Below are 23,390 nucleotides of genomic sequence, written 5' to 3' on the forward strand. Positions count from 1 at the left end.
AACTTAATTTTGTTCCATGTATTATTTCTCCTTTTTATGGAGTGACATCAAAATTCTCTGTCCTTTGCACATGACAGCCCATCACATAGCTGGATTCATCATGTTTTGGAACTAAATAGATATGAGCTTGCACTCATCTCTGACTGTGACTAAGTGTCTTGATCAAATTTGGTCTCACTGAAAGTCAGTTTCCTCTATTATAAAATTGGGCTAAAACTTGGGAGGATTAGATCACAAATATAAATTACCTAGAACATACACTAATATATAGTGAGCTTTAAGTATTTTCTATTATTTGAAGAATGTGCTCATATCCTTTTAAAGAAATATTTCAAGTATAATATGATCCACTCCTTTACTCCTTTCTTGTGGAACATGATTTTTAGATTATTTGTCCTCTGAACCATACCCCATGTAAGAGCCAATGTCTTTCCGAAATGCAGTACTGAAAATTATGCTGTAGATACCAGATTTATGAACAGCACTGACATTCTGCCACCTAGACCTGCCTCACTCCTGGTGGGCTTGTTTATAAATAAGTAATTTTCTTAATAAAGACCATGATTAGTTTGCCTCCTTTTTTTTTTTTGGCCTACACTCAGCTTGTGGTAATTAAAGTTTTTCTACTTTTTTTCACATCTCTTACCAAACAGATCCTCCCACAAACCACGTGTATCTAATTGATTTTGAACCTCAATAAAGATATTTATTAAATTCCATTTTGCTTATTTGCGGCAAGCATTTCTGCTAGTAGAGGTTATTTGGAAGTCTGACTTGGTTTTGTCACTATATCCTTCCAAACTGAATCTCAAGTTTGAAATGCCTGCTTTATCCCCCTTCACCAAAATCCCTGATAGGAGTATTGAAGAGAAGGTCAAGGGCAGGAAACTATGTCATACTCTAGGGTCTATTCTGTTAACAGGAAACCTATTAATCATAAGTCCTTGTTCACTATCTCTAGTGAACAATGCTAAATGTTGGCCATTAGGTATGATAGTTACTGAAGGTTTTTGTACCTACAGTTTATCTGACTAAGGAAATTCTCTTCTATTTCTACTTTAATTGGTGTTTTTTCAATCAGGAATTGATAAGGAATTTTATTTAATTATTTTTTGGCACCTCCTGACATTCTTTTGATTTTTCTCTTTTAATTTGATAATGTAGTAAATAATGTTAATGATTTTCTAGTAGTATTTTAAACATGCATTGTTGGGATAATCCATCTTCCCCCAAAAGTCCCCCCAACCTTTTCTCTTTTTGCATTTTATGTATTGCTGGCATTGGTTGGCTAATATTTGGCTTTGGTTTTTATATTTATGTCTGTGAGGATGATTGACCTGCCATTGTCTTTGTCAAATTTTGTTGTCAAAGTTGTCAAATAATAAATTGAAAAGAATTTTCTAAAAATGTTTATGTAATTTTGAAATGCTCTGCCCATGGACTGTTTGATAGAATTCCCTTATAAAGCAATATGAATAAATTTGCAGATAAATTTGTACATTTTCTTTTGCCAAAAAAACACATTGTTTATTTTTCCCAAACTTTTTATTTTGATAATTAATTTAAAAACTTACAGAAGTTCAAGAATATAGTGTTATGGAAGCCCGCATTTTATACCCTTCCCCTTTCTGAATTATTTGTCCTGTTTGCTTTCTTTCTCATATGTATGTATACATTTACATATACATATATGAACATAGTTTTATGTTTTGTTTTGCTGAATCTTTATTAGACATTTTACCCATAAATATTTTGAAATGCATCTTCTAAGAATAAGACAATTTTTCTACAAAACCAAAATACTATTTGCATGCTTAAGAAAATTTATATTAATTCTAAATGTTATCTAATACTATATACTCCATATTCAAATTTATCTGATTGTTTCAAAAAAATGTTTCCCATACCTTTTTTGTTTCTTGTATTCATGATCCAATCAAGTTTCACACTTTCTTTTGTCGTTATGCTTTTTAAGCTCTTTTAATTTATAACATTTTCCTTGTAATATTTTTGTTATTTTGTTTTGTTGACATTGGCATTTTTCTAAAGTCTAAGACAATTTTCTAAATATATTCAATTATCTGTATTCTCTGATTAGATTCAATGTAAATATTTTAGATGAATATTGTATAAATAATGTGGATTTTCAGTTTGTCATATCAGTAAACATATGGTGTCAGATATACTTATATGACTACAAGTACCTATTTCTGTGATACAGAAAAAATAAGCATCATGAATCTGTAAAATTCCTCATCAGCCAAACTAAGTATGTTTCATTCATGAGAAAGAATATTGTAGCTATATACTATCTTTCCTTTTTAATGATCTTTTATTTAGATATTCCAACTTTCCATTTTATACTTATTTTTAAAATATCTGATAATATTTATAGTGCCTATAGTTACCAATAATGTACTGGATACTTAAAAATTCACTAAGAGGGTAGATCTTATGTTAAGTGTTCTTATAATAATAGTGACAATAAATAAGAGGACAGGAAACAACTTTTATAGGTGACGGAGAAGTCTACTGTGTGGATTGTGGTGACGATTTCACAGGTGTATACTTATCTCCAAGCTCATCAAGTGGCATACATTAAATATGTATAGCTTTTGCATATCAAGCATATCTCAATAAAGTGGTTTAAAAATGTTATATGAGCTTTCTTGGATTGTGAGAAGCATTTTAACAGATATTTCATTTTTCTTTTCTTATTAACATACCTTTTAGGCTAAAAAATGACAACACTAAAATACAAAATTACATGATTTTTCCCACACAGGTCTGTTGCAGATATTTGTCTAAGTGTTCATTAATTGTGGGAATAGTCATGTATACTATTTTTTAGTATAAATACATATTGCAACAACGATTTTTAAAAAGGCCTTGGTTAATCACATGGTTTGCCTATACTGATATCTGGACAAAGGAAAATATAAAATAAGGAAAATGGAGGATTGAATTTATCAAGCATGTAGTTCTTACTAGAGTTATCCCTCCTAATTTTCAGACCCATATGTTGATCTAATAGATATCCATTTGGTCCTGCTAAAAAAAAAAAACATAGGTTTGAATATCCTAAATTATCATCCCTTTCCCTTTTCCCCAGCCTCATATTTATCCTGCATTTCACATACCAGTGAATAACATAATCAACCATAACCAATTCCACCCCAATCACTCCTCTCATTTACCGTCCACATGCAGTCTGCCACCAAGTTCTGTCACTTTGTCTCCTAACATTCCTCAAATCTTATTTTCAAACTTAAAATTTCTGCATTAATTCAGAATTGCATCAAGAATTTGCACAATAGTAACAGTTTCCTAATTGTCCTACCTACCTTTATCCTCCTCATTAAATCTTTGAGCCATAGTATAGCCAGGGTAGTCTTTATTTTTTTTAAAAAAAGCCAAGTACTATCATTTTAGTTACATAGTTAAAAAACCTATCAATATCATCTTATTGACTACAGATACAAAATAAAATTCCTATGCAATAACATATAAATGACTTTCTTCTAGCTCATTTCTACATGCAAAGGTATACCTGTGTTCTAGCCACCATGAACAAATCACAAGAATATTTTAGATTCTGATTCTGTCATTCTTCCATTCACCATACATGCATTCTTTCCTGTGCCATAATTCAATAAAGAACAAAAGCAGATATGTTCTTTGTTCTCATAGAAATTAGAATGCAGACATTAACTTAAAACTGACACATACAAATAAAAGGCTTTGCTTGGCTGTAAATAAACATTTGATATTTGGAAACCAAACTATATTCTTAAGTTGTCATTTTCTTCTTATCTATATCATGAAAGTAATATCTATTTCATAAGATTTTCTCATAGATTAAAGCAATAACAGAAGCAGTAAAGAGAAAAATATGAGATTTATGCCAATAGAGATAGAGCTAAAACTAAATCTTGTGACAACATTGACTTTTGGACAATGGAGAGGGAATAGTCATAAAGCTAAGGAGGATTGAAATATCAAGTGGATATAATGGGAAAGGACATAACAAGGCACCTCATGGAAAACATAAAGATACATGGGCAGCAAAGTAAAGTTGGGAAATTATTTTGAGATCTCCCAAAGTGTGATCAGGTCACTGACAGATACAAGGAATTTATGAATATGGGTCAACAAATTGAGCAAAAGAAAGAATTTTAGAGTCATATCAGTTAAGTTCTGTTATGAGGTCCTCAAAAGAGAGTATAAGAGAGTACAGACTAAAACCCACCAAGGTTTAAGAACAGACCGTGGTAGATGAATCCACTTATAGATGGAAAGAAGAAGCAAGCTTCAATGAAGAGAGGAATACAGGGATATAAAATTGAGGACTGTTTAGTTCAGACTTAGTTTAAAAGTTATCGCTCAGGGTGGAGGCTCATGCCTGTAATTCCAGCACTTTGGGAGGCCGAGACAGGCAGATCGCTTGAGCCCAGAAGTTTGAGATCAGCCTGGGCAACATGCTGAAACTCTGTCTCTACAAAAAATAGGAAAATTAGCCAGGTGTGGTGGCACACGCCTGTAGTCCCAACTACTGTGGATGCTGAGGTGGGAGGATCACTTGAGCCCAGGAAGTTGGGGCTGCAGTGAGACGTAATTGCACCACTGCACTCCAGCCTGGGTGAAAAGACCCTGTCTTTAAAAAAAAAGAGAGAGAAAATTATTGAGATGTGAATTTTGTGAATTGGCCATTATCTGCACTCTGTGAGGGATAACTTTTTACTAGAGAAGAGCATATATACAACTTACATTGCAATTAATGAAAGAGACTAAACAGGATAAGAAAATAGAAGCAGTGAGCATAGCATCCTTTGAGAAGTATTTCAATATAAAAACATTTTAAAAGATATCTATATAAGGTGAATTCAAGGGTGTGTTGAAGTCAAATAAATTTTCTTGGGCTAAAGAAGAGAAACATCTGTATTTGCCATGAAGAAAAAGCCAATAGATAATTTTGAAGATGACAAAATGAAAAATAATTAGTGGAACAAAAATTTTAAGATATGAAAGGTGATAGAATTTATAGCACAAAGGCTGAAACTAATCTGAAATGAAAATGGAATACTGCTTCTTTAAAACTAGTGAAAATATAAGAATACGTGAATGTTTAGTGAGATTTGGAGATGATCATTTATAATTGTTTTGTTGCATATTAGTGATCATCTAGGGTGAGGTTGGGGGGAGATTCAAGATGAAAGTGATGTTGGAAATGTGCGACGAGCTGCCTTTGGAACATTTTAGAAGAAAATGAATAAGTAAAATAATTATTGGCCCAGCTAAATTTAAAACGTGATATGTGTCAGCCAGGAGACTGAAAATGATACACTGTTTTATTCTACAACATCTGGGAATGAAGGAAAGTAAGAATTTACAGAGGGATCAGGGTTAGATCAGCACTAAGAGCTGAAAAAGCTGTTAAACAGCATTACATTCAAGAAAATCAGTTGGGAGAAGTGTATCAGGAAAATGGTAAATGGAGAACTCTGAGGGATTATCCAGGGTTGAGGGTTTGAATGTCAATTAAGGTAGAAGATTACGGAGGTGAAATACTCCTGAATTTTAGGAGGAACACAGCTGAAATGACTGGCCCTGTTTAAAAGGAAGTAGATTAAATCAGACAACTAATTCACTAAATATGGAAAAGTATGAGAGATAATAGAATATAAAATTCTGGTTAGAGAGTGATTTTTTAAATTTATTTTTCTTTATTTTTTGAGACAGAGTCTCACTCTGTGCCCAGGCTGGAGTGCAGTGGCACAATCTCGGCTCACTGCAAGCTCCGCCTCCCGGGTTCACGCCATTCTCCTGCCTCAGCCTCCCGAGTAGCTGGGACTACAGGCGCCCGCCAACACGCCCGGCTAACTTTTTATATTTTTATTATAGACGGGGTTTCACCGTGTTAGCCAGGATGGTCTCGATCTCCTGACCTTGTGATCTGCCCACCTTGGCCTCCCAAAGTGCTGGGATTACAGGCGTGAGCCACTGCGCCTGGCAGAGAGCGATATTTCTAGATATCTTTAAAAAACAATTTTAAGTAGTAAATTTATTCTATTGAAATATACTGAGACAGGAATCAAACCCATGACTTCCCCCTTTTTTATTAGCACTGCATCTTGTAATAAACAGAATGGATATTTTTCATATCTTATGGATTCTTAAACTCAGTTTTACCTTTAATCCTACTTTAGGTTCAAATTCTACATTGATATATTTGCACACCAGTATTTGGAGAAAAATTATTGAAAGCAATGGCAAAAACTGCAATTACTTTTGCACGAACCTAATAAGTAGGGAATGGATTCTGAACTTGGGTCTAATACCTTAAACGGAAGTATATTTTATTTTATATAAAACAGATCATGGAATCCTTACACTATGAAATGTGTTTTGCTACCTTTCCTTTCTAACAGTATGGAGAGGTAAATAACTTGTTAACTGCTCATGTTGCTTATATAAATATTTTTAAAGATAAAATATTTGTCTTGAGTCAATAATTCATGCTCGAATGAAAATATGCGAATATAAATATGTTCTGTAATATTACTAGAGAGCTTGTTAAACTGTAGTTAGCAAGAGTCATTGTCAGCAAGCCAGAATTTTCAACCTCCTTAGCAAATACTATCATTTGGCTAAGTGTGGAATGTTTTACTAAATGGTTTGCATCTTTTACGCGAGTGCCTTACGAGCCTGCTTTTAAGATGTGCTGATCAATTGAGATAAATGCATCTAAAACAATCAGTCAAATATACACAAATTATTTGTCTATGTGCTTTTGCTTGTTGGAAAAGAGGGAAATTATTGGAAACTATTTGATGCTGCCATGGGCCATTCTGATGGATAAATGCAACATTGTAAATATTTGGCAACTTTTCTGAAAACTGTAAATATCGGGAACTTTCAAGTTGTTGTAGCCCTTTGCATTTTGGAGAAAAATTTAAACTCTCCAAGTAGGTCTTTTCTGCCTAAAGTTTTCTTTCCACTTCACTGAGAAGCAGTTTTAAACATTCGCATTAAGAATATTCATGCATCCCAAAGATTGGATACCTCTAGAAACATAAAATAAATAATTTGTTTATTTAAATTGACAGAGAAAATGGTATGTATTTGTTGTGTACAACATGGCATTTTGAAATATATATACATTGTGAAATTGTTAAATCTAGCTAATTAACATGCATTACCTTGCGTAGTTATTTTTGTGGTGAGAACACTTATCCACTCTCAACAGTTTTCAAGAATGCAATACGATGTCATTAACTGTAGCCATTATGCTATATAAAAATATTTTGTAATATTTATAAATATGTTTAAAATAAAAAGGTACTATAGTTGGAGGAAGGAAAGAATGGTTTTAATTTGGATAAATAAGGCAAAACAAAAAGTTGGAAACATTATTGGGAATTTGTTTTACATGTTGTTAAGAAGATTCTTCTTTTTTACCAGTGATCAGAAGGGGACTTATTGGTTAATCCTAATATATAATTATTCCAAAGAATGTGTTTATCTGATCTTATCCATGGACAGGCATGGACTATGTTGGTGTAATAAAATTTCAAAATAGTGTTTCTTAGAGTTGATGAACTTGTAATCTAACCAGTAAGTCAGAAACAACTCTAGTTTCCTGGAATCTCTCCCACTCATATCTAGGGATAATTAAAAAAAAATAAAGACATTAAAAAGCACACATAGAATAAAAATAATCATTTAAATTTAACCTGAGTCTTGAGTCCTCACTTCTCTTAGTTACATGTAAAAGAAAGACAAAGGAAGAATAATGATACACATTTATTGACATTTGATTTATTTCATATTTGGGAATCTCTTATGCCAAAGAATAAACCACGTTTGTCTAGATCTTTACAAGTTACAAAATACTTTGACATCCATTATTTCTCTGAGTTTATGTGGCTAGCCTAAGGTCACTCTGGGAAGTACAAAACGCATTACAGTTGATGAAGGTATTAATAAATCAATTTCCACCTCAGGTGATTTAAAAATGCATTCTGTTCTAGTATTAAATTGTATTCTCCTCATTCTGCTGCATGGTTAAACCTATTTATCTAATTCTGCTGTGTGAGTTTTATTTTACTAATTATTTTGTGACAAGCCTTTAGATAGCATCAAAAATCATAATTCTCCTACTACATACCTTCCAGAATATCCATTTGTTGAATAAGTGAAACCATTTGAAAAGTTTGAAAATGTTAAATACAATAAATATATTACCTTCGAAGTAGTTTTTGATCTCTAGACTCCATCCCTATTCATGTTTCTAAAAGCCAGATAAGTGGAATAATAGTTTAAAACAGTAAAACTCAGATTACATCATTAAAATAATAATAGTGTGACTCTTACAATATAGCACAAAGAAAAAATAAAAATAAAGGGTTTTAGAACTAAAAGAAAAGAACATCTATGATGAACTTCCCATGATAATGCTGGAAATCACTAGCTAAAAGTGAAAAATTGTAGAATAAATGTTAATTATATATATAAATGTGGCAGAGGGTGTTTTGAATATGAAGAAAAAAGAAAGCTAATTTTTTTCCTATGCTTTCCATGGGGCTTCAAATCTAAGCAGCCCATGTGATGGAAATTTGCAAAAAAAACAAACGAAACTGATGCAGCAAAATAAACTCAAACTGAAATTTGATGTAATAAGCATAAAGAGAGGAGAAAGGAAAAATGGAAACATGATCCATATTGAGTTTACAATTAAATAATAGGTATTATTTTGAATAAAAGTACCATTGAATGAAACGTTTATAAAACTTTAAAACGTACTTAGATACAAATGAGAATATTTTATCCGTTAGAATTTGTTTTTCTTATTAAAATGTGCTCTTTCTGGAATATCTTTGCAAGTAAATTTTTTAAAGCATGTGGCATTATTTTCTTGATTGCAGTTATCAAATGTGCTCAGCAATGTATGAGTCATCTCCAGTGTTTCCTAAAAGCCTACTTTTTGCTAAAATAAAACACAGATTTGGCATCTGTTCTGTAATTTTACTGAAGGTCTGAAAGGTGTAATAAAAAAAGGCATCTGTCTGCAAGATGATCCTTTAATTGTAAAGTCGCACTTTGACCGCTCTTCAGATTCAGTGAAATCTTGTGTTCGATAATACCAAATGGTTACATCCGCTTTGCAGTACATGTTAAATGTGGAAAGTTGGTGTTATGAGTTTAAGCTTCTAGAAATTCATTAGATGAAGATCAACATACTGAAAAAAAATCTGTCAAAAGTGTTTTTTAGATTTCTTATTTTTGTAAATGTAGGTATTGACTCAGGAGCTGATCACTACTAAGGTTAAACTGGTTAGTTCCATGTGACATGTACTCACTGATAAACTTAAAAGTGTCATTCAGACGACACTGATGAATGAGAACATCGTTTCAATGATGGGAAAAATTAAATAGATTTCATTGGTGAGGAGATTTGAGGGTAGGAGAGTGGAAAGTTTTGGTTTAGTTCAACTAAGCACTTTTATAATGTCTTAATGAGGTCAAATTGAATATAAAAATTACAGTTTCGAGAATTTGAATTCAATCCAAACATGAGAATGAAGTAGAGCTGTTATAAGACTGTTATGAATTTGATAATTGTATCATCATATGTAGAATTCAGATGGACTCCAAAAGGGAAACTTAGCCAGATGTTTGTAATATAATTGAAATAGGAACAACTTAAGAGAATTTCATTTATTTTGTATAAATAAAATGTGACAAAGGAGTTTAGTGCACATAGTGTTGGAACCAAATAAATCCAAGTATTTTACTTACTAATGATGAAATTGTATGTATAAAATTGTAAACACCTTGGGAAAGTAAAACATGTAATAGTCCCACTAATGATTCTTTTATACTTCTGGTACAAATATTGCTCTTTCTTCTTGATCTAACCAACACTTAAGTCTAAAAATAATTCATCTGACTTATTTTTCATTTGATAGCATTGCATACAATAAGTTGGGTCCCAGTCAATGGCTCTGTGGAGTGGTAAAATTTACTAATTCTGGAACCCTGTATGTATCAGTAGTCCATTGATTTTCAGTTCCAAATTTAAAAAAAATCTTTCTTTTGTCCATCATTACATTGAACCTTTTTGACCCAATTTTCAGTGATGTGTTTTCATTCATCTATATATACTCTTTTTGAACATTTTTAATTTATTTTTTTAAATTGACAAATAACATTCCATGCTTGTGTTGTGTCCAACACGATATGTTGAAGTAAAAATACAGTGTAGAATGGTTAAATCTAGCTAATTAACAAATGTATTACTTCACAGTTATCATTTTTGTGGTAAGTGCACATAACACCTACTCTCTTTACATTTTTCAAGAATACAATAGATCATCATTAACTATAGTCACCGTGCTGAACAGTAGATCTCTTGAAATTTATTCTTCCTATTTAACTGTAATTTTGTGTCCTTTGACCAACAACTCCCTTTCCCCTTGTTCCCCCCAACCACCCTAGCCCCTAGAAACCACCTTTCTACCTTGTTCTTTTCCGTCACAACTGAATCTCTAGTTGACTGGCAGCTCTGATATGCTTATCTCAAGAGTCATTGCTTTTGGCATGTTTAATAGTTTTTGTCTTAGTCTAAATTGTGGTATTAGCTCTTTCATTGTTTTGGCTTTCCATTTGTATTTTTACAAAATAAGAGAATATGTAAAAAAATAGATAATTGGTATATTGAAAACACACATCTATTGAAATGTTATTTAAACACGGAAATTTTTAATACGTTTTATCACCATTCTTATGTCATTGATCTTAGTACAAAAGGAATATAAAAATGAATTTGTAAGAATGCTTGTCTTTCCCTTTTACCTTTCATTTGCTTTTCCTGTGTCCATATTACTTTCACTCTTGCTCAGAAACTAACAGAATTCTATGGTGTGTTAGGAAGCATATATTTCCTGGTGTCATTAGTACTTAACCCACATCTTTCAAAGTCACCAACCTCTGGGTAGTTACTGACAAGTGCTGTGGGCCTGTGTGCAGGCACAGAACCTGTGTGTAAGGGGCAAGGATGTTTCCTTTCCTTTAAGGAGCAAGTGCTGGGAATCCCACAGTTGGCTTCTGAAACACTCTTGCCACTGGGAGCAAATTAGACACAACGAAGGAATACTTAAATAAGTTTAAGTATTTAATTCATTTAATATTAAGTATTTAAGTGTTTAAATACTTAAAATATGAGGAAATTTGTTATGTGAAATATGCACGATTCTGAAATAAGATGAAGTCCTTTTGTGTATAACCAAAATCAGGGAGAAAGTACAACTCATAATTGAATCAGAAGTAAGTGCTTGCTTTGTATTCTTTATATAGGTCATCATTTTTATTTCAAAAACATATTTCTGTTTCAGTGAAACTGCATGTAAAATGTTTTATGCTTTATAGAAAAAATCTGCATATGGATTATTTTTATTCTTTCAATTAATTGAACATTTATTGAATTTATAGTCAAGGTAAAACAGTGCTGAGTTTTGAAAGAAGGAAAAAAAAATAAAAGAGACATAAATCCTGACCTGAATGAATATATAAATGCTCTAAAAGGATTTAGGTAGAGTATTTTTCAAGTGTACAGGCAATATTGCAGGCAGTATTCAGGAGCCTAAGTAATATTGTTAATATAATTTAAAGTACCTTATCATTGTTCTCTAACTTGACTAATTGATTTTTAACTATACAAGTAAATAACAAACATTAACTTCAACGTCAAACAATTCAACCTATTTCTGTTTAAACAAAATAATATAACTCTTTATAACTTGTAGCTAAAGGATTTCTTTCAGTATTAAAAAGCTGACATTCAGAAAATGATTAGGGTGCAATAAAATAATAAATGTATCTGATTTTTATTTTAATAATAGTAAACCATATTACTGACAGAGAAATTAGCTGATAAATATTTGCCTCCTTGCTTAACAAAAAGGTAATAAAATACTAAACAGAAAAATTATTAAATATTGATAGAGTACAAATAAATTTTCCTTAAGTTTCCAAACACATTTTTATAATAAATTTCCCATATGATAATACACTCGAAATTAAAGTCTGAGAAAAGTAAATATATCACAATTGAAAAAAAAGTCAGGTTTTTGAAAGCAAAAGGGAAAAGAAATTACCTAATAGTAGCAGCTTTACGGTTCTTGCATCTCGCTCAGCATCCTCCTGAAGCTTTTTCTCCAGTTCTTTTGATCTTTTGGCTGACTCCTTGCTCTCTGAACTAATTCCACTTCCCATCTTGTGGTGGTAGATACTTGTCAGTTTATATGTTCAGATTTTTCAAATGTTGAGCACAGCTGTGGTTTGGACATAGGAGGCAAGAGTAATGCTCTGCTGAAGTACCTAGCAGTCCATTCCCTAATGCTCTAAGATTCTGCTTTGACTAAGGAGATGCTTTCTCATCTGTCACCTGATCAGGTGGTAAAACCATACCCCCCTGATGGAGGCTAGAGAGGAAGTTCATTATGCTTTCAAATTAAATGACTGCTTCGGGCACATCTTCGAAAACAGGCTTATCTGCTTTATAGTATAAAATAATGTAGAAAGTTGTCAAAATCTATACACTAGAGATGATCTACAATAAGCAATTCAAATAGAATGTTTCTCACTACTGGGCAATTTTTATTACTGTGATTAAAAGTTATTATTACTAATCAGCGATGCTTACATCTTATCTTCAGATATTTGGCCCTTCAATTTCTTTATAATCACTCCTATATCACAATCAGAATATATACATGTAAGTTATCCAACTTTTATGGTCTACCTATGCTTAGATTATTACTTAAAGCTATTGAGCATCTATTAGCATCTGTCAGGGAACAAAAAAAATCTTTTTTTTAACAATGGATACAAATACATATAGTTTTTATATTTGTACATATTGTATTGCTACAAATATAAAATTCAACACAGTTTTCTTAAATTATTGATTTTAGTGTCATAGGATCCATCTCTATAAATTGAGCTTTTGCCGCCTGTGAGAAAGTCAATCCATCAACACTAATTGAGGGCCCACTTGGTGTAGACACTGAACTATGTTCAATTTAGGCAGCGCATTAACTCTTTAGGGCCATTAAGCAACAGCTGCTGTGCTGGAGGGACTCTTACTGATTTGGTACCAAGGGAATAAAAACCAATGTTCTTTGAAACAGCAGGTAATTTGGTTTTTCCTACAAACTAAAAACAGTAATTACACCTAAATAAGTTCCATAGCTTTCAACTACCCCAACAGATACCATGTACTTCTTGAAAATCTTCAGGATTGAGGGCAGAGATTATGTTGCACAATTTTTTATTTATATGAAGCATAAAGTGCTTGGTAGATAGTCAATCAATATTTTCCTTATGAACAGAGTCGGTTGCCTGTGGCACATCTTTCAGTGTGCATTTTGGGATTTGTGAATGTGCTTAACCAGAAAATGCCAGAATACAGTCAATCCACCAACCTGTCAGTGGTGCTCTTCTTGTGGGATCATGTGCAAAGTTTGAACAGGTGAGTTTTTACATATTCATGCAACAAGAAAATAGGCTGCCAGATTAAATACATAGTCCTGCTTTGTTTACTTTTTCCACATCAAAAATATTAGGCTGAAGATACATAAACATAGTCAAAACTTCCTGGGTTCCGTTCTTCCAAAGCCATATTATGATAGTATAAAGATGTGCAGTGGTGGATAGGCAAGGATTTGTGCAAATCATGTGGTATTGCTTTTACAATGCAAAGGGCCTGTCCCAAAGGAAGGAGATTTGCACGGCCTAATGCTCACCTGTGAACACAAAGTCCACTCTGAAAGCAACACTTAGCACATTTAATCTCTTTTTGCCTAGTGCTTTTTTATAGAAATTGAATATAATAGCACCCTGAATAAACAGAATTCTTGCATGTTCTATGGCAGAAACGAACTGACAGGCTACATCATATAATTTGCATACAAGCATAAATATACCTCATAGCTTTTTGGCAGAGACGTACCCTGCTTTTAGGAACATACATGTTTTACTAAGGCTTCCTAATGGGATTACTAACTAAAACTGACCAACTCTTTCAGGAGTAGGAGTATACATTTTCTGCACTGTATAAAACGATGAACTTCCACTTTTCTGTTGTAACCAGTAATGTTCATCAACTTGATGAGATTATCAGGTGATTTTTTCATCAGTGATTAAAATATTCTTGACATAAAACTCTAGGTATGTCTGTGTTACAGAGAGGGAGAGCGGGAGAGCTAGAGAGGAAAGCAAGACTCATTTCTCAGCCTTCTCCCCTGGGTGCCTCGGACACAGCATCATTAATGAGCTGGGCTTAATACAGCTATTAGTTCATATTGCTTCACTTAGTCATATAGCTTTCTGTACGTAAAGAAATGAGGAAAATCAAAATAGTAAACTCCGCTAGCGTGGTGATAATATCTTACTAGCTTGAATGGTCTACATGGTATATGGCACAGTACTAGTTATAGTAAATGTTCAAAATTACTTCTTGCTGACAAACTGATAGAGGCTGGAGGCCCTTTCTTTCCTGTGCTTAGTGACAGTATACTTAGGATTTCTTTTCTAAAATTTTGGAGTGACTCAAAAAAATCAACAAAAAGCCAAATTTTAGTTTTAAATAGTGTCAGTATATACGATTGTAGCTATTAGTCCAATAGTCACACATTTGTTTCCTCAGTCTTAAAAGTAATAGCAGCATCCTCCTTTTCAATTGTTAAGCCCTGTTTGTTCTACAGTAAGGGAAAACTGATAGAAGATGACAACAGAAAAAAAAAAAGCTAAATTAGATGCCGTGACCGTAAATTTTGTTTGTTCTTGAAAACAAGAAATGTGAAGCTAGCCAAAACACCAACATCATGTTAGAGTTTTATACATGCATACATACACACACACAGACATACACACATGTATGTAAGGTCAGTGCAAAAGTAATTGTGCTTTTGGTCATTTTAAAAGTAATTACAAAAACCGCAATTACTTTTGCACCAACTTAATGTATGTTCCAGCTAGGAGAGATGGTTGCCCTGTGTACACACACTTGCACACACAGACACGCACAAAAACGTGAATGCACAAGCCCATGCACACACACAAAAAGCAAGAGATTGTGTTGGAGTGCAGTGGTCTTTTAGAATAATCATTGAGAATGACGTTTAAGAATATTGTTTCTTTATTGCATCACAGTAAAATTGATTTGAGGACAAATACAGAGATTGAACCACACTTAACCTCCAATAGTCACTGAAATACCACAAGTATGGAGGATGAAAATAAATTTTCTGTTGCTATTTTTGGTTAGGATCTCTGTGGAATCTTCAGAAAGCAACATTAGCCTTTAAAAAGTGTGAGTAATCACTATTTTACATCGATGATTAAACATATAGCTAGAGGTGACATGCAATTATTTGCTACCTGCTTTTAATAACCAGATTTCAATCTATGTTTTTGGAGATGTCTCTTTTGCCAGTATCACCTGCGTTTCTACGGTCATCAAGCTGAATTGCTCGTGGGGATGTTACCTGTGGCTGACTTCAATGACTTGAGGTTGCTACGTCTTAGGGATGTCTCAATGGCTCAGCTAATGCTGGAAATTGCCAAAACAGGCTGTGATCAGTGTTACTCTTTATTTTGTTTCCAATCTTATAGGAGGTTTTGATTTCAGGCATTCTATCCCTAGGTGGTTTGAGTTGTGGCTGCCTTAGCAATGACCTTTATCCTTGTATATTCCCATGAAACTTGAGGCAAACCATCTCTCCTTTGCTAATGGTGCTCAAATGTACACTTCAGGGAGCTCCAAGCCTGGTATTTCTTCCAGAGAGTTCATGCCTTTTGGGGCTTCCTAAGAGCAATCTTTTGATCTTGAGGGAATAAAGCAAACCTTACTCTTTCAAGTTAGTACATTCAGATGGTGCAACAAGTTTACATTGCCAACATTAAACAGCTCTTATGTACTAATAGGTAACACAAATATGTATTTTTTTCATTGGAGTTGATTTCTACCTTTCTACATTTTTTTTATGAATTAGGATAGAATTTTATATATGATTATTGGATAAGAGTCACAACTGTTTCCCAGGGTGCCTTTTCCTATCTCAAATTCTGTCTCTTTTAAGATTTTTAAAATATTGCTCTTTAACACATTTCTATTACTAACTCCCATAATCATATTTCTCAGCAATTTCAGCCCTGATTGTTGCAACAGCTTCTCACTTAGGTTTCCTTACTCTAGGCTCCACTCTATCCCAGTCCAATCGGTCTGATTGTGCCAGGCTAAATTCCCTCAAAGGCAAGTTTAATTATTACTCCTTTCTGGCTGGAAAAAACAAATGATTCTATATTTACTACTTCCTCCTGTGTTACTCCTGTAACATATGTTATTACTGAGTACATGAGCATACCATGTACTCAATAATATAGTTAGCACTATCTAACTATCCAAATATATTTCCCAATCACAGGCAGACCTCAAGGATACTGCAGATTCTGTTCCAGACCACCGCAATAAAGTGAATATCACGGTAAAGTGATCACACAAATGTTTTAGTTTCCCAGGCCATATGAAAATTATGTTTATACTATACTGTAGTCTATTAAGTGTGCAATAGCACTATGTCTAAAAAAGCAATGTGCATACCTTAACAAAAAAAAATTGCTAAAAATGCTAACAATCCTCTGAGCCTTCAGCAGTTTATAATCTTTTATAAATCACTGTGTAAATATTAACAAAATAAATGTTTACAGATAAACACCATATATTAAACATCAAGAGGTGCAGTTTCATTGGCCATTGAACATGGTTTCAATACTTTTTAAAATTAAAGTATAGGAATATCGATAACTTGGAAAACAACACAAACTTGATTTTTACATAAAGCCTAACAAGAAAATAGTTACTACTTTTTGTTGTCCTTGTTATATAACTTCTTAGGAGTATTTATATAGTAGTATATAAATAGTAATCTTTTTGTATATCATCAGAGCTCTGAATTACCATGTGCATTGTCAATTTCAATATTTCAAAAGGAATCTTTTATTTTGAGCAGTAAGTCTCAATAGAGGGCTTAACATATTTAGTAAACCAGGCTACAAACAAATGTGCTGTCATCCAGGCTTTGTTTTTCCTTTTATAGAGCACAGGCATAGCAGTATCAGTTTTAAGGACCCTAGGATTTTTGGAATGTTAAATGAGCATTGGCTTCAACTTAAAGTCACCAGCTGCATTAGCCCTTAAAAAGAGTGTCAGCCTGTCCTTCAAAGCTCTGAAGCTGGACATTAACTTCCCTCTCTAGCTTTGAAAGTCCTAAGTAGCAGCTTCTTGTAATATGACTACTTAATGACATTGAAAATCTGCATTTAGTGTAGCCATCTTCATCAATGATCTTAGCTAGATCTTCTGGATAATTTGCCACAATTTCTGTATCAGCACTTGCTGTTTTGCTTTGCACTTTTATCTTCTGGAAACGGCTTATTTCTTAAATCTCATGAACCAACCTCTGCTAGCTTCCAAGTTTTCTTCTGCAGCTCCCTCACCTTTTTCAGCCTTCATAGAATTGAAGAGAGTTAGAGCCTTACTCTAGATTAGGCTTTGTCTTAAAGGAATGTTGTGTTTGTTTTGATCTTCTATCCATGGCCACTCAAACTTTCTCCATATCAGCAATAAGCCTGTTTCACTTCCTTATCAGTTGTGTGTTCACTGGAGTGGCACTTTCAATTTATTTCAAAACTTTTCCTTTATATTCACAACTTGGCTAACTGTTCCAAGAGGCCTAGCTTTCAGCTTGTCATCTCATCTTTTGACCTGCCTTCTTCACTAAGCTTAATCATTTCCAGATTTTGATTTAAAGTGAGAGGCATGTGACTCTTCCTTTCACTTGAATACCTACAGGCCATTGTAGGGTTATTAATTGACCTAATTTTAGTATTGTTTTGTGTCAAGGACTAGGAATGCCGAAGGAGAGGGAGAGAGAGGGGAACGGCCAGTTGGTGGAGCAGTCAGAACACACACGTGCATTACGTTTGTTGTCTTATATGGACACTGTTCATGGTACCCCAAAGCTATTACTATAGTAATACCAAAGATCACATACCACTATAATAGATATAACAATAATTGTAAGTATGAAATGTTGAGAAAGTTACCAAAATATGATACACAGACACAAAGTGAGTACATGCTGTTGAAAAAATGATGCTGATAGACTTGCTCAAAGCAGGGATGACAAAAACCTTTAATTTGTTAAAAAAAAAAAACTCCCATATTTGCAAAGCACAATAAGTGAAGCACAATAAAATGAGTTATGCCTGTACTTCTCATAACAGTCTCTATTATAGGTGGGCTTTTACTCTTTCCGAACTAGGAGTCCCATTTTAGTTTTTACTCATTCTTCTTTTCCTCACTAGGGATATCTTGCTCTTCCACAGATGACTTTTTTTGCATAGTACTCATTCATTAAGAAAGAACCTACCATTACACTTCACATCTACTAACATCCATTGGCTGATCTTTTATATTTTCTTTTCTTTTCTTTTCTTTTTTTTTTTTTTTTTTTTGAGACAGGGCCTTGCACTGTCACCCAGGCCATAGTGCTGGCACAATCACAGCTCACTTACAGCCTCAGCCTCCTGGGTTCAAGTGATCCTCCCACCCCAGCCTCCCAAGTAGCTTGGACTATAGGCACATGCCACTACACTTGGCTAATTTTTAATTTTTTAGGTTTTGTGTGTGTGTGTGAGAAAAGGTATTGCTCTGTTACCCAGGCTCAGTGACACAATCATAACTCGCTACAGCCTTGACTTCCCAGGCTCCAGTGACCCTCCCACCTCAGCCTCCCAAGTAGGTGGAACCACAGGTGTGCACCACCATGCCTGGCTAATTTTTTTGTATGTTTGGTAGAGATGGGGTTTTGCCATATTGCCCAGTCTGTTCTCAAACACCTGAGCTCAAGCAATCTACCCACCTCAGCCTCCTAAAGTGCTGGGATTATTGGCGTGAGCCACTGCACTCTGCCTAATTTTTTAATTTTTTGTAGAGAGAATGTCTCACTGTATTGCCCAGGCTTCTCTCAAACTCCTGGGATCCTCCTGCCTTGGCCTCCCAAGCTGCTGTTATTATAGGTGTGAGCCACCAGGCCCAGCCTGGGCGATTCTTCACTTCTGAGATCTCTCTAGAGGAATCTGCTGCAATTGGTTTGTCCTTCCTCATCACCCAGACAGTACACTTTCCAGTGGCCATTCTCTCTAGTTCTTCTCTTCGATTTGTGGGTTCTAAGCTGGTAGTACATAAAATAAAATTTTGTTTGTTGAAATCATTGGTGAATGGTGGAAGATCAATAGATGTATAGTATTAAAGAGCTCTTTACTCTGTATTAAAATTGCATAATTCTCCTTCCCAAATGATTTCAAATATGAAATTTTAGTTCTGGAATTTTAGGAATCTGTTTACCTAACAATGTTCTCCTGTTATATGTCAGGAATGAGAGTTTCAGCAGTAAACAAAATAGTTAGAGACATGCCCTCATAGAGCTTAATTTCTAGTATTTGTACCTGTGTATGTATGTATCTGTAAGGTTAAAATTTACACAGACAATAAGATACATCTGTAAAGTATATAGAATTATAGATGGTGACAGTTGCTAAGAAAAACCAAACAGAGAACAGAGGTAAGGAGCAGGGGGATGGAGATGAAGATGAAAGATTAGAATTTCACATAACGTGTCCAGAAAAAAAGCTCACTAAAAAAAAATTGTGTTAGAGTACGTTCTCTGAAAACTGACTTTAAGATGAAAAACACATACAGGAATTTTATTAGAAAGTGTTCTTGGAAGCCACCCTTATAGGTGAGTGAGGGAAGCAATATCAGAAGAGAGAGGAATTGGATACACAGCAGTTGCAACAGAGAACTCAGCCAATCTTGTGGGGAGCTCTGAAGCTGAGATAGTTGTACAGATTTATATGAAAGAAAGACAAGAAGACTGGACTGTTGTATCTCTTTCAAGAAACAGAAATTTAATGTATGTTTGCCCTGGAAGAGGATAAAACTGATCCTTTTCTCTGAGGGTCATTTCTGAGCAAGGCCTAAGCTGTGACCTGTCAGCCAAGGGAGTGATTTCTTAATCTTGAAGCGGAACTCTGGGCAAAGTACTTGGGCTTTCACCTCCCGTATTACTTGGATGCAGGTAAGTTTAGTACACTCACTACATCTGGGCATGTCCAAGGGTTGCAATTACTCTTTTTCCTAAGGAAACTTACAAGAAGGTGTTCAGTGAATCAAACTACAGCCCTTGTCAATGCTTGCTGGTCTCAAAACTGCAACTGTTACTCATCATCTCCCTATTCTTCGACCCATGCGAGGTTTCCTTCTGCTAGATTAACACCTAGGGTGATCATCTCTCCAAGTTTTTCCAGGACTGAAAGAATCCCTGAGACTTGGGACTTTTACTTTTAAAATGGGGACAGTGCTGGGCAAATCAGCACTGGGACTGGGACTACAGAATTTCTCAGGATGTGAGATTTTTAGTGCTAAATCTAGGAAAGCCATGGCAAACTGAGAAAAGGTGGTCATCTTACTAACACTTGTACTTGTGTATGTGGCTTATCTGTTGAGATGATGCAGATTCTTTCATGATGAATTGCAGGCCCCCGAGCATCATACCGTTAACAGTCTGTGGCTTCTGCCCTTGCTGTTTACTATTAAGGTTGAGCAGGGAATAAATCAATAAACATCTCATCTGGTCACCTGGGTGCTGAGTGTATGCTGGCCTGATGTGATTGTGTAACAGCAGTCAGTCCTGCTCCTAATGACTAGAGTCAATTGTTCACACCTAGTTGGTGACTCCTTAAGAAGCCTGAAGTGATAAAAAGACAGCTGTAATTTACAGTTTAATAGGACCCTTATTGTGCACCTGGTGGAAGGATTGCTCTTCTGGAAACCAGAACTAGACCCCACAAAGTCGAATTTTGTAGACATAGGAAGCACAGATTCCCCACATGGGACATTGGGAAAGATGGTAAGTGAGGCCATCTCTACTTCCATCCCATAATTCTCAGGTGTGTCCCTTGTGACCTTAGGGACACAAGCACTGTATCATTTTTTAAAATGCATCTAGAATGTATATTGTATCCTGAGGATGGCTTTCATTTGCAAGCTGACAGATTCTGGGTGGTGCCACATGAAATAGGACAAGTAGATTCCCTGGTTATAGGTCCACTGTTATGTCTCCTTTTCTATAAATTGAGTCCATTGGTCCAATGCAATGTTATGGCATTCTGGGTCAGTAGATCAAATAGTCTATAAACCCCAGGAGAGTGATAAAACCAGTCAAAATGGATGTCCGTCTATTCCAGAGTAGAGACAAATGATTGGTATTCTTATGGGATTGTGCTCCATAGGGGAGTCAGTTAATTTTTGTTGCTGGAAGGTAGAACATTTGGCAGAGGCAGTAATTATGTCAGCCTTGGTAAGTGGGAGGTCATGCTGTCAGGCTCATGCATAGCCTCCATCCCTGTCTCCACGGCTACTTCATTCCTAAGCCCATTAGTGTAGCACTGGGGATCTTTGTGTCTGCCTATTGGTTACTCCAAGCCTCTTCCATGCTGAATGCTCATTACTGGGTGTTAACATGCCATACAAACCTTCAGCAGGTTCATTCACTCTCTTCCTCAGACCTCTTTGTCCCTCATCTTCTAGTCATTTCATTTCCAGGACCCAGAGCATCCAGCCAATTCATTCACAGCTATCCATACATATATTTTTACATTGTATTCTTTTTTAAATTCTTTTTTTTAAGACAGGGTCTTGCTCTGTGGCCCGGCCTGGAGTGCAGTGGCACAATCACAACTGTTGCAGCCTCAAGCTCCTGGGCTCAAGCTACCACCCCCCCGCCCCCCACCCCCCACGCTTGGCCTCCCGAGTAGTTAGGACTGCAGGTGTGCATCACCACACTTGGCTAATTTTTAAATTTTTTGTTAGAGATGGGGTCTTGCTATGTTAATCAGGCTGGTCTTGAATTCCAGGTCTCAAGTGATCCTCCTGCCTTGGCTTCCCAAAGTGATGGAACTACAGGCATGAGCCACCACCCAGGCCCATTTTGTTTTAAGAGTAATTTATCTTTTCACACAAAGTGGATAACCAGGTTTATTTACCACAGCTCCACTCATTGGAAGGCTTTCTTTTTCACAGGTGACTTTCAGTTACACCCAAAGAAGGCAAATGACAGAGCAGCTGTATCATTATTGTTTATACTTGTCTATCAAGCTGAGCCACCTGTGAGCTTAGCTTGGCTTTTTTCCTCCTTCATTACCTGGCTATAAATGTCAGCTAAGGGAGGAGCATTGGTGACTATGCCACTTGATTATTCAGATTACTTGTGCCTGCTGGCCGTGCTTGGGCCAAATGCCGGGTATAATACTCTGACTGAACAATGGATTTCTGTTAAGCACACCCAAGTTTATGATTTGGTAGGTCTTATGAAACCTATCTCTTGATGAGTAGCTCTGATCACATGGTCACCTGATGTCCTATTTTCCAACAGTCCAATTCCACCAAAGCTCAGTAGCGTGAAAATAGTGCTTCCAAATGGTATATATTTCTGCTATAGATGGCATTACTTTGTTCCCTATGGTTCTGTCTTATGTTTCTCCAATTGAGCTTTCCATTAATTCTACAAGGCACCTTTTCTCACTGTAGACAACTATAATATAATTGTTTTCAACTGCAGGTGATTTTGCCCTCCAGAGCTCATTTATGAATGTCTAGAGACATTTTTGGTTGGCACAAGTGGGAAAAAGGGGTTGCTATCAGCATCTAGTGTCATCTGCTAAATATTCTACAAAGCACAGGACACTCCACCCCACCCCCTCACCCCTGTGCCACATACAACAAAGAATTATCTGACCTGAAATGTCAATAGTACTGAGGTTAAGAAACCCAGCTCTAGTACTGTAAATCTATTGGGACATAGTCGCTCATATAGCAGAACTTCTCATATGACTTCCTAAACTTGCTGAAATCCCTTTGTTGTTCTGGAAGCCTTTTGCGTCACTTTATCAATAAGGTGGAGCTGGAATATGCCGTCTTTATAACCCAAGGAAATTTACAAGTGGTGTTTCATTAGGTACAAGAGTCAATAATTTGTTCTTTATTTCAGACAAAGGCCCTGGCGTGTTTCATACTACTGGACTCCTAGAAACTCTGCTGATCTGGCAAGGCCTTGAATCTCTTTAGGGCTTTTGACCATCTTCTAGAGTTAATGTGTCTTAACAAGGTTTCCAAATATATTTGTCACTTCTTGCTCATCTTTTCTTATTAACATAATGTTATCAATACAGTGGATCTATACAATGTGCTGAGAAATGTTAAGACA

At 35.1% G+C, this 23,390-nt stretch overlaps 1 protein-coding gene and 1 long non-coding RNA gene across 2 annotated transcripts in view; one reads left to right on the forward strand and one right to left on the reverse strand.

Annotated features, from left to right (window-relative positions):
- Positions 1 to 12,411, reverse strand: part of GNAT3 (G protein subunit alpha transducin 3) — a 53,430-nt gene extending 41,019 nt beyond the window's left edge. Inside the window, exon 1 of the mRNA NM_001102386.3 lies at positions 12,156 to 12,411. Coding sequence (NP_001095856.1) covers positions 12,156 to 12,273 — 118 coding nt within the window. The 5' untranslated portion in view covers positions 12,274 to 12,411. The remainder of the gene's footprint in view (positions 1 to 12,155) is intronic.
- Positions 1 to 14,945, forward strand: part of LOC107986812 (uncharacterized) — a 28,132-nt gene extending 13,187 nt beyond the window's left edge. The window contains exon 3 of the long non-coding RNA XR_001745252.2: positions 13,392 to 14,945. This is a non-coding gene — a long non-coding RNA (uncharacterized LOC107986812). The remainder of the gene's footprint in view (positions 1 to 13,391) is intronic.
- The last annotated feature ends 8,445 nt before the right edge of the window (positions 14,946 to 23,390 follow it).

The sequence above is a fragment of the Homo sapiens genome, chromosome 7 (genome assembly GCF_000001405.40).
Source record: "Homo sapiens chromosome 7, GRCh38.p14 Primary Assembly".
NCBI classification, from domain to species: Eukaryota; Metazoa; Chordata; class Mammalia; order Primates; family Hominidae; genus Homo; species Homo sapiens.